This window comes from Homo sapiens, chromosome 8 (genome assembly GCF_000001405.40).
Source record: "Homo sapiens chromosome 8, GRCh38.p14 Primary Assembly".
NCBI classification, from domain to species: Eukaryota; Metazoa; Chordata; class Mammalia; order Primates; family Hominidae; genus Homo; species Homo sapiens.
This window is the reverse complement of record NC_000008.11, coordinates 26,331,701-26,344,188: the sequence shown is the minus strand read 5'-3', so window position 1 is coordinate 26,344,188 and position 12,488 is coordinate 26,331,701. Positions and strand designations below refer to the sequence as shown.

Sequence of the window (12,488 nt, the reverse complement as noted above, 5' to 3'; positions counted from 1 at the left end):
AGGGATCTTGGCAGAGGTCCTAGCACATAAACTGCTGCTACTACATCCAGGTTAGAGTGGGCAAAGCCATGCAGTAGAAATCAGGATGTGTGGCTTCTGCAGTGAAGAATCACTTCCTTATTAACTGTATGACTTTGGATGGGTAATCTGGTACCTGGGCCCCCAGCTGGCAAAAGGAGACTGCACTACCAGGGGTTAAAAATTGAGGGCTCATGGACACAAGGGTCCAATGACAGAACCCAGGGATTTTATAAGCCTGGATGGGGGGAAAATGTACACATTTATTTTCACTAACCTCCAGCTAAATTTCAGCATTTCTTTTGATTATGGGCATAGGTAACAAACTGCATATAGTATTAGCAATTCTTGTGACTCTGTCAAACAGAAATGACATTTTAATATCGTAATCCAGCTGTTATCCACTTAAAACATATATTACTCAATTATGAATATTTTGGTAAATTATTTCAACCTTTATAATCTTAAATATTTTATGCAATTTAAACATTCTGGCCAGGCACGGTGGCTCACGCTCAACACTTTGGGAGGCCAAGGTGGGTGGATCACGAGACGGGTGGATCATGAGGTCAGGAGATCGAGACCATCCTGGCCAATATGGTGAAAACCCATCTCTACCAAAAATGCAAAAATTAGCCAGGTGTGGTGGTGTGCACCTGTAGTCCCAGCTACTCAGGAGGCTGAGGCAGGAGAACTGCTTTAACCCTGGTGGTGGAGGCTGCAGTGAGCTGAGATCACGCCACTGCACTCCAGCCTGGGCAACAGAGTGAGACTCCATCTCAAAAAAAAAAAAAATCTGAGAAGTCTACAGGATTTACTAGGCTATCAAAGGAATCCATGGGATGACAACAAAAAAGTTAAGAATCCCTAGAAAGCCCTATAAATGTTAGCTCTTACATTCTATGAATGCACCATATACATACATATTCTGATTTAGTAATCTTGAGGAGCAGGATAGAAATCTGTATTTTATTTATTTATTTTTTATTATTAGTTTTTGAGACAGTCTCACTCTGTTGCCCAGGCTGGAGTGCAAAGGCACCATCTCAGCTCACTGCAACCTCCGCCTCCTAGGTTCAAGTGATCCTCATATTTCAGTCACATAGCTGGGATTACAGGTATGTGCCACCAGGATCAGCTAATTTTTGTATTTTTATTAGATACAGGGTTTCACTATGTTGGCCAGCCTGCCCTCAAGTGATCCACCTGCCTCAGCCTCCCAAAGTGTTGGGACTGCAGGCATCAGCCACGGCCCCCAACCCAGAAATCTGCATTTTAAATACATGCAAACATTTTGAGCCATATATAATTTAGAAAGGTAATACTATCATATTAACAATACTATCCACCTTTTGTGAAAAGCATGCTTTTTAAGGTTTCTTCTGTATCCTGTTAAGGAATTTTGGGAATACCACATTAAGAATAAAAAAAGCCAGAGGGTATGAAATCCAAGAAAGTTACCAGCAGCCCTAGAAAACAAAAATCAAAGGCCCCATACCAACCTAGAAAAATTATAAAAAGAAGTGGAAAGAGGTACAACCTCCCTCCTCACCTTCTGTCTTAGCTGTCCCTTTAACCCAGCACCCACACACCCACACTACCTTACAGGGTACATCACAAAGTCTCAGAGAAACTGAAGGTCTGAGCAACCCAACTCAGTAGGAAACCAGCTACTTTGACAACTGCTAATTACCTAATTTGAGCACCCATGGAAACAACAAAAATCCCTAAAACCTAGAGAACATCATTATCCACTTTAATAGCTGTTTGGACTCTTCTCCTCAAAACCCTGTATTAATATTTTCATTAACAAAAAGAATATACCCTATCATTTACTTTGCTGTCAAAAGCTATTAGAAGCTATAAAAATAACATGGGTCACTTATATCGGGTCATGCTATAAAGAACACTGGATTTGTTATCAGAATTTTGGACTCTCACTGATCACATGATGGCTGTGATTACATCAGGGAAATCACTTTACTTGTGTGCCTCAATTTCTTTAGGTGCCCTGATTCTACAACAGAGATTCCGTGTAGCAGAATACCTATACAAATATATTAGTTATAACAATGCTATTAAATGACAGCTAAAAATATTAAACAATTATCAGTCTGAAACATACTCAAACCAAATGAAGACCCTCTGAATTGGCTACTCAGTTTCTTTATATTACGATTGGGGAATAAACGGACAGGCAGCAAGAGGACACAGATACCCGCCTGGATCACAGGAAGGAGACTAGCTACTTCTGAAGGGTAAAATAAATGAGGCAGACAATGAGGGGTTACAGATGTCAAAGTCTGATGTGCCAAGTTCTCTGTTGCTGTTATATGATCTCTTCTTCTTCCAAGTAAAGACAATAAAAATGAGTGGGTGGAGATATTTTGGTCTCCAGTAAAGTCAAGTTTAAGAAGGAACCCTGCCACTAGGTAAGAGAATAAAGCCACAATAGATCAAATGCCAGTGTATTCTGCAAACAAGGCTAGCACCCTCATCAGAGTCTAAGAAACATTAGGCACCAGTGTACTCTGGAATGAACATATAATAGTTGGATTGAAAATCGGAGACCCAAATCCTAACCTGATTTTTGCTACTAAATGAAGCAATATAACCTTGTTAAATAATTTGGATTTTATCTACAAATTAGGAAAGGACTATTTCTTTCACTTTTCAAACTGTAACACTATCTTACAGATATATACATGTGAATTCATAAAATCTCATTCAATTACATTAGGTATTGAAACAAAGGTGCCTCTAGATGTGAATTCATAAAATCTCATCCAATTACATTAGGTATTGAAACAAAGGTGCCTCTAAGTGTCAAGTATACATATTTATGACCAATGACATAGATTCTGAAGACAATACTGTATTAGAAACTCTAAGACAGGGCTTTAAAATGTAGAAAATTAAATAGGCAAAACACACCAAATTAATAGTCAAGATCAAGTTTCAGAAGTGAAGAGTCAATCACCATCATCATCTTTACTTAATCTATCACTTAAAAACATGCTGATATTTACACCACTAAGTAATTCTCAAAAGACATGTTACTGAGTTTCTACAAAACTCTCCATCTAGAATTCTTAAATATAGTTAAGAAGAATGAGACACATGAAAAGGAGGTCCTATTTTTCCTATCAATGGCCCTTCCCAAAAAGTTATTCTGCTCAATTCTTCTTACAAGAAAATGTAGTTAAAATATTAGCACTTTAGAATCTTCAGTGGGGTTTCAGAAAAGAATCACGGGAAATGATTATCTTTAAAATAATTTTGTCTTATTTTCTAATACAAGTAAATGAGTAATTTCAGTAACTATTAAATTTGGAATTTAATTACAAATTAATGTATTACTAACAGCCTTTAGGAAAATACTAAATACTAATATTCTGACTACATTACTAAACCCATATTAAAACAAACATTTCCCCCAATTAAAAAAATTTTCAGCCATTTTTTCCACACTTGATTTTGACTTGGACAACAAACGACCACAGGAGATGAAAATGACTTCATTCTCAGGCAAAATAGTTCCAAATTAGCTTTTAATTGACAAACTTGTATTTTAGAATTGACAATGACACAATGCCTTCATTAAAAATGAAGACTTTCTGAAACCCTCAGAATGTTAAGCCTAGGGCAAAATCAATTTTTACGAGTTTTTCTCAAACACTTTTCTTTAAAATAAAAGTAAAGTGTAGAGAGTCAATAACTTTCAGTAAAAAATACATTCAAGGGCAGAGAACACCTATGGGAAGGTCTGCTCTAAACTCTAGATAAAAACTTTCACATTTTGGTTATCTAGCATGAAAAACAGCAAAGAATACTGAAAAACGACATGTCAAAAGTTCAGGTTCTGCTTGTTAGTTCTGCCACTAAGTAATAAAGTAATCTATTTATATCTTGACTTTCCTGTTAGTAAATAAAGGGAAATTATAATGAAATTATAATGTAAGGTTCCATGTCAACTCTAAGTATGTCAAGATTCTTATGGTCGAGTTTTTGGCTACTTAAAAACAGAAAACTGATTTAGCCCCCCACTTCCCACGAGACCATTCTTTGTCAAGCAAAGCTTGAGTCTTATTTTCATATTTTCTTCCAAACGAAAAAAATAATAAAAGACATATTTAGTGTTTGTGCATCTTCTAATCAGACACTATTAATCATTTCTTTTAAAATTAAATTACCTACCTCACTGGGGTGTTGTGAGGATTAATTCATTAGTGTTTGTAAAGCACTTTGAGATCCTCAGGTCAAAGGCGCTATAGAAGTGCAAAGTAGTAGTATTATTACTAGATTCTTTGCTTATTTAAGGAATTTCACAATCCTTTAAAACCTAACTCTGTGTTATGATTTAGACATGTATTTGTAAAACCCTGCAATTTATCCACATTACTTTAAACTTTTTAAATATATTATAAATAGGGGCAGAATGTTCCAAAACAACTGATTTTAATGGTTAAACTCTGATCTACAAATGGAAGGAGAGAATGAATAAGAAAAAACCAAGTGTGACAAATTTTGTTTAGCAAAAAATTTTTAGTGAGAAATCTGGTCAATTAAATTTAGAAGTGTGCCTAAGTTGTAAGAAAAACAAAACAAAAGCCCACTTTAATTACCGATTCTGCAATTTTCTTTCTTCAAAAAGCTAGCACTGCACTTTTAAGTTACTTTACATGCATGTACATGCAACTGTCATTTAAACCTTTACATTTAAATCATTGTAACAGTATTATTATGAACTGACATCAAAATAATTGAGCTGCTTTTTCTTTAAACTAGCCTCTCACCCCTCAATTGTACAAAGTAAACCAAGCATTGAGAAGAAGTCAAAGCAACTTTGCTTTACGGAGTTTCAAAGGAAAAATTATAATGAAGGGCCAAGGCTTCAAAACCGTTAAAATCTTGGATTATTCCATCACTTTCCACCCCCTTCTCTAATCAAGTATTTTTACAATTAGTGTTATGTTTTTAAACCAAAACAACATACGCTCATGTACACACATGCACACATACAAAGCTAAGAGAACCAGAGCTGTCTATATATTGGACATTGTATTCAATAAACACACACTTCTTTTAAAATTCCAACATCCTCTGATGAGATTCTCCAGTGCAACACAAGCTCTAGTCCTAAGATCAAACTGAAATTTAGACAATAAACTTTAAACACTTACCTCCTGCTCCTGTTGAAAGATGACAACTCTACCACCTTTATCTCCTGTTGCTAGTAATTCTCCAGAATGATTAAATTCTACTGTAGAAATTATATCTGCTGTATAATTGAGACAAAACAAAAAAAGATATTAGTTTTTCTTTCCCGACTCACTAGTTTCAGAACTTAGCGTGTTTTCCCAAACATTCCAAGTCTATGAAGTATATCTTTGAAGTACATCAACCACCCATCAGAAATAACATGAATCTAAAGTTCTTTCATAAATATTTTGATCCACTAATAAAAATTCTCCTCAGAATAAACCAGTATGAAACTATTTTAACAGAGAATACAACAAATACTAATTTATTAACATTTCACTAAATTTGTGAATGCAAAGAAATCAACAATTTGTGAATCATTCTGATAGCACCCTTAAACATTATCTTGCTAATTTTCTTATATACATTTGATAAGCTTGTTTATGCAAATGCAAATAATCATCTATAATAAAGGCACATATTACTAATAAGGAGAGGGAATTTTAAATGTAAAAATACTTTTAGATGGAATTTTAAGTCATAAATTCAAAATCATGGCTTCAAACAAGTGTTTGCAAATAGATCCCGCTTTTTTATAGCAGAAATGCTTCGTGCTATGTGCCTTCAATGTGCACGGCTCCTCCAGCTCCCCTACACTGCAGGACCACTAGAATCAGTCACGTCACATGGATTCTACCAGCTCAGTGCTGACTTCACAGTCATGATCAAAGAAAACTGTCAAGTTTTTTTTCTTGGTTTTTCACACTAGAGCCCTTTTCCTAAGAAAAAAAGTCTAAATTACAGAAATGGGCATAAGATAGAGCAGTAACATGGTAAAATTCATCACTGTGTCATTAAGAAGTTCTTCACTATAAAGCATTAAGCTGAATTAGAAAAGCCCCTATCATGTGCATTTAAAATAAATCAGCTTTATAAAAGAACAGACATCCTCTGGTCTACAGAAGCTCACTGTTAAGAATTTAAGAATCTGATGATATACATACTTTAAAATTTTAAATTTACTGACATGTATTTCACCAATAATCTATCCAGCACTGCATTTCATAATTTTCTTTTAGCAATTTTTTAAAGCCCAGATTTTGAGAAGGTTTCTTTTCTTCCTCCGTTGTCTAGGTCCAAGGCATTTAATCTTTTTGAACTCTTTCAGAATCTACCAAAAGTTACAAATGCTCTCCCACAAAACTGCACATATTTAAGTGCTCATAAAAATGTGCATATTATCTCAGACTGTTTGGACAACAACTCAACGCCAGGTTAAAAAACCCCTGGCTACACCACGGTGGTTACCTGAGTAACTGCTTACCTAAGTAACATAAAAGGCGTAAAACTGAATATACTGGGCTAGTACATAAAGCCAAACACCAGTAAGTACTGAGAAGTCATTTGATTAGGAGTTCTGTACTATACTACTGACTTCTACAGCGAATAAAGGATTAAAAATATACAAAGTCCCTGCACTTAAAGCACATTAGAGTACAACTGGGGAGTTAAGTAGGAGCAAAGAGTAGCAGACAAAAAATATTGAATCAAATCTGAGGGTTAGGCTCTAAAATCAAATAATAATACAAACATACAGAGTCAAGATTATCTTTAAATTCAAATCCCTCACACAGACACCCTGAAGACACAAATTCTTTCTCGTAAGTCCAGCTCAATTTTCCCTACAGCATTGATAATTTGCTGGGTTTTTTTTAGCCTAACCATCAAATGAACTAGTTAATTTGAATATGAAATCTTGCTGTACCAAAATACCTATCTTTGATCTCTAGAATATGCTCTCAGCTTGGTGAAATGCTCACATCTGAAACCAATACCAGACTCATTCTCCTGTTCAACTCAGTGGAATAATGGGCCGAGTTGCCCATTACTTATTTTATCTCTTTCCCAGGTCCAAGTTGTTGCATCCACCTAAATTAATTACAACTCCTTGTCAGGCTGATGAGCTGTTACAACTATCACTTAGTAAGGAGATGTCAAGGACCATGGCGTGACTAGCCTGACTACACTCTCTGCTAAGCAGTAAAGTTAGACAGGTAGGTTTGGTGCAGCATGGACTTTTTTTTTTCTTAAAAGAGTCTTTAAAAAAAAAAAAAGGCCTTTTGACCAGGCTGGAGTGCAGTGGTGCAATCATGTCGAACTTCTGGGCTCAAGCAATCCTCCCACCGCAGTCTCTTGAATAGCTGGTACTACAGGCATGCACCACCATACCTGGCTAATTTTTAAAAAATTTTTTTGTAGAGACAGGGTCTCACTATGTTGCTCAAGGTAGTCTCGAGCTTGTGGTCTTCAGTGATCCTCCCACCTCAGCCTTCCAAACTGCTGGAAGTTTGCAAGCGCTACCATACCCAGCCGGGCTCAATTTCTAATAAGGAAGAAACCTTAATATTCCTTAAGTGAACTGAACACGTAAAACCTAGAGATGATTAAGTCAGTAAGGACAGCATTACAGTAAAACAATTGAGATTTGAGACTGAGGGGTGGGGTGGGAAGGCACATTCCACGCCAATTTATTATTTTTTGAGATGGGGTTTCGCTTTGTTGCCCCAGCTGGAATGCAGTGGTTCAATCATACCTCACTGCAGCCTTGACCTCCCGGGTTCAAGCAATCTTCCCATATCAGCTCCCCAAGTAGCTGGGACTACAGGTGCGGACCACCATGCCAGTCTAATTTTTTTATTTTTATTTTTTTATAGACAGGGTGTTGCCATGTTGCCCAGGCTGGTTTCGAACTCTTGGCATCAAGCAATCCTCCTGCCTTGACCTCCCAAAGTGCTGGGATTACAAGCATGAACCACAAAACACAACACCCAGCCCTTACCTATTTTATTATGAGAAGACAGAACAAGAATCAAGTAATGATTGTAGGTACAATATTCCAAACTGAAGACAGGGGACTCTCACAACCAGTTATAATGTAATCACTGAACATGTGAATGGAAGAGGAAGGTGAAGGGTGTGTGGGGAGAAGAAAAAGACTTGATTGCAAGATGCAACAGAAACAAGACATTTGCTCCAATAACGTATCACTTCTTATGGCAGGAACAATTATTTTATGATGACATTTTTAGCGTACAGTGATGTGGTTATGTGTTTAGCAGTGAACTAGTTTTGTAGCAAAGGTAAAGAATTTTAAGAGGGACCCTTGTGTAGGGTGAGGAATCCTAGAAACAACTGGCCCAAACAGCAAGTGGCTGGATATCAGGAAAGGACAAGAACCAAAGATTTACACCACAAAAGTCAACTCACTGTAAAATCCTTGAGGGAAATAAACAGTAGGTACATGGATTACCAATTTTTAGATTTTAAGACACTGGTGTTTGTTACTATTTATCTTGCCAAAAGCCAATAAACAGAAAGTTTCAGAAACAGCCAACCAAGTCACTTTTTATCTGAATAGTGTAGAGTAATTTTATTTCGGGGAGGGGTAGATGGACAGATTCATGGTCTCCTTGCTGTGATCTTTATACCGCATATATTTAATGTAATCATATTTCTGGTAGGAAAACTATTTTCCTGGTTTCTAAAACAGAATTTAAATATATCACTACGTCATGGTGTTCCTTCCTCCTTTCTCCCTTAAACAAAAGAGAAGAGAAAGATCATATACAGTTACTCACTAAATCTCTAAGTTTATGGATGATGCTTTGAAAGCTCTTCTAAGTTGTGAAATGCCAATGTCTCACAGTCTCACTGGGAATATGACATATAAAAATGATGAAATAAGAAGGGAGAATGAATTCAAATTCCGCTCATAGACCAAGAAAAACATCCAGGAATGAGTTATAGGGAGCACGCTGAAGCAGCTTTGTACCGTATGTGCCACTGCATACCGGCATGCCAAGAATGGGGTATGGTCTTGCCTGGTGCTGCAGAGCACTCAGATCGGTAAGCCCTAGTTGTAAGCATCCTCGGCTGTGTATCCCAGTGTGCCATACAAACATCGCTGCTTTTTAGGAATGCCATGACATGCAAAAAGTGAGGAAGCACAGTCCTGCAAACAGGGATACCATTTCATGCTACACCCAAACAGGGCTGGCTAAATACTGGTATCCAGGTTTTTAGAAAATAATCTACTCTTAGAAAATATTCTTCTCATGTTCTGATACCCATATGTAGCTAGCGGCTACCAGACTGGACAGCACAGGTCTAAAACATTACAGAGTGGATACTGACTTTTTTTGTTTTTGTTTTTTGTTTTTTTTTGAGATGGAGTCTTACTCTGCCGCCCAGGCTGGAGTGCAGTGGCGCGATCTCGGCTCCCTGCAACCTCCGCCTCCCGGGTTCACGCCATTCTCCTGCCTCAGCCTCCTGAGTAGCTGGGACTACAGGCACCTGCCACCACCACCGGCTAATTTTTTGTATTTTTAGTAGAGGCGGGGTTTCACCGTGTTAGCCAGGATGGTCTCAATCTCCTGACCTTGTGATCCGCCTACCTCGGCCTCCCAATATGCTGGAATTTCAGGCGTGAGCCACCGTACCTGGCCGGATACTGACTTTTATTGCAAACCCAAGAATGCTGGAATTTGAGAATTCTGCACCTTTAAACAATGCACTGTGTATCATGTTTTTTAAAAGCAAAAACTGACATCACTGTCAGAGCTATCATACCGAATTTGTGCATACTTTAGTATAGTATATCAGTTGAGTTATATTCTCACAAACCACCACCACCAAAATGCCAAAGAACAAACAACTTCTTTAAAAGGAAAAATCTGTCCTATCACCAATCACAATGTTATTTTACAATGAAAAATGCCTGTATTAATCTTACAAAAGAACATTCTAATACAGTTAATAAAGAAGGACCTTTCAGAACATTAGTCCACTGCCCTACTATGCATTAAGTCAACCCAGCAATTTTAGATACACATTGACTTCCAAATTGTGCGATATAAAGGTAGTATTTAAAAGGCATAAGAGTATTTTTGTTAAAAAAAAAGTAATGTAATGTTCTTAAATTTTATCTATACACTATTAATGCAAACCAAGGGATTGGTAATTTATTATACAGAATGAAATTCTTACTTTTTCCACCCCCTCTTTCTAAACTGTCAGCACCCAGGCAGGTTTCACTCTTAGAAGGTGAAATAATTGCTTTCTTTTGTGAGTGGAAGAGCAATTGGTAGTGGGAATGACAACAGTGTCATTGGTCGGTTTTTACTTCATAAGGCCGTTTCCTTATTGCCACCTATCTTCTGTTTCTTATGTATTATAAGAAACACAATAGAACACATACAGCCAAAGGTTCAAAAATGTAACTCTCAGTATAAAAATCAGCAAGGGGAAATTCACAAATAGTATATATAAATGGGTGTAACAAATAATTACTATCCATTAAAAGACTAAATTATTAGTAGCCTTGGCATTCTCTAAATACCTCAGCTCTTGTGTTGTGAGGCACTTTATGGAGTCACTCTTTGATTTCATAATTCCACTTGAGGACTATGTCTCAAATAAGTGATCTGAAAGAAATTAATCAAAGTGCAAAGAGGGTTATAACTGTATTACCTATATAATTTTTAATACAGCTGAAGGTATTTGAAATACTCAATAGTTAAGAAATACATTGTACCAAAGCTGTCAAATGAAAACAGCAACAAAAACAAAAAAGACAAAGAAATACAAAAGTAACCTCTAGTCACAGGTTGGAAAACTACGGCCCACAACCTGTTTTTGTAAATAATTCTTTAATGGAACTTAGCCATGCCCATGAGTTGAATAGACGGCACAGACTGGAAACATTTACTATCTGGCCCTTTACAGAAAATGTTTGCCAAACTCTGCTTTATATTAACTGGATACTGGCATTAAAATAACACAAAGTCATATCAAACTAATGCCAAAGCACATACAGATGTTACAACCAAAATGTGCCAAACATTGTGCTAAGTGGGCATTTATTCTCTCTTAATCTTTATAACATCACTGTAATATGCATATCATTTTCAATGTATAGAAAAACAAATTAGAGTGATTAACCAGCCTAAGAAAAATCACACAGTGATCAACTGTCAGACTCAGGACTCATATTTAGCACTATAGGGATAAGGTGGCAGCACAGAATTCTATAAATCTCTGGATGATGAAAAAAGGGATAATGTGTAAGTATTCAGTTTATTGCCTCTTTTTCATTGTCAAAATGTCTGTGTTTAGTAAAATATTTAGAGCCAAGCAACATCAACTTTATACTACTTATTAATGACCACATTACAGTTACTGCCTGTCCCTACAACTTTTAAATATTTATTCAGAATCTGCTACATTCAAGGCACTGGGTGATACACATTCTAAATTCTACCCCCTAATGTGGCTAAGAGAAAGCACTGTAATCCCTACAGATGAAGCATTAACCAATAAAGGATTCAGTAAATGCTTAAGAAAAATCAAAGGAGTATCCTAAGGCAAAATAAACAACTACAGCATGAATTACAAGACATAAGGACCAAGTTAATATGTAAATGCCCGTTTTAAAAAAATAAAAATAAAGGAGGGGAAGAAACAACTGAGAGGAATTGCTTAAGTATTTTTTTTTCAAAAGGTATTTTGATATCAATTTGTATCTTCTTCTTTTTTTTTTTTTTTTTGAGACAAAAGAGTCTTGCTCTGTCACCCAGGCTGGAGTGCAGTGGCATGATCTCAGCTCACTGCAACCTCTGCCTCCCGGGTTGAAACAATTCTCCCTGCCTCAGCCTCTTGAGCAGTTGGGATTATAGGTATGCACCACTACACCCAGCTAATTTTTTTTTTTGTATTTTTAGTAGAGACAGGCTTTCAATATGTTGGCCGGCTTGCTCTTGAACTCCTGGCCAAGTGATCCTCCCACCTCAGCCTTCCAAAGTATTGGGATTACAGGCGTGAGCCACTGCGTCTGGCCTGTTTAAGTATTTTTAACCATCTGATTTATAGATTCCTGAAAGTGCCATTTGAAACAGCTGATGTAGGATCCATTCCTTAAGATGCTGACAAACCCTATTCTGTTATTTCCCTCAATATAATTAGGCTTTACAGTGAAATAGTAACAATTTAAAAGGTTAAAACTCATAAAACACTCTAAACATTGCTGTAGCAAATAAACAACACTGAAAATCCAGAAATATCTGTTTCATGCAACACAAAATAGCATAAATCTTAAGATAATCATGAAGTTTGTGAAAATTCTATTGAGTAACCACTATTTCTTAAAATTCTGTATTCCAAATACTGCCACAAAGGGCTGCATTTGTGTAAAGAGCACGTATCTACAAACA

The 12,488-nt window shown here is 36.6% G+C and overlaps 1 protein-coding gene across 10 annotated transcripts in view, besides 1 other annotated feature; it reads right to left on the bottom strand.

The window, feature by feature from the left end:
* The window catches only part of PPP2R2A (protein phosphatase 2 regulatory subunit Balpha), an 81,173-nt gene that overhangs the window by 28,492 nt on the left and 40,193 nt on the right, over positions 1-12,488 (bottom strand). For 4 of the 10 annotated variants that reach the window (NM_002717.4, NM_001177591.2, XM_047421936.1 and 1 more), the window contains one exon: positions 5,202-5,299. In NM_002717.4, the coding sequence (NP_002708.1) occupies positions 5,202-5,299 (98 nt within the window). Of the gene's footprint in view, positions 1-4,215; positions 4,287-5,201; positions 5,300-10,618; positions 10,704-12,488 lie in introns of all 10 variants that reach the window. The other 6 variants (XM_047421935.1, XM_047421933.1, XM_005273559.2 and 3 more) reach the window with 4 other exon arrangements.
* Positions 9,049-9,548: an enhancer, noted in NCBI's record as "H3K4me1 hESC enhancer chr8:26192157-26192656 (GRCh37/hg19 assembly coordinates)". NCBI's record gives its function as "activates a minimal SCP1, AML or CMV promoter by ChIP-STARR-seq in naive H9 embryonic stem cells {active_cell/tissue: H9 hESC(naive)}" and the evidence as "EXISTENCE:reporter gene assay evidence [ECO:0000049][PMID:30033119]".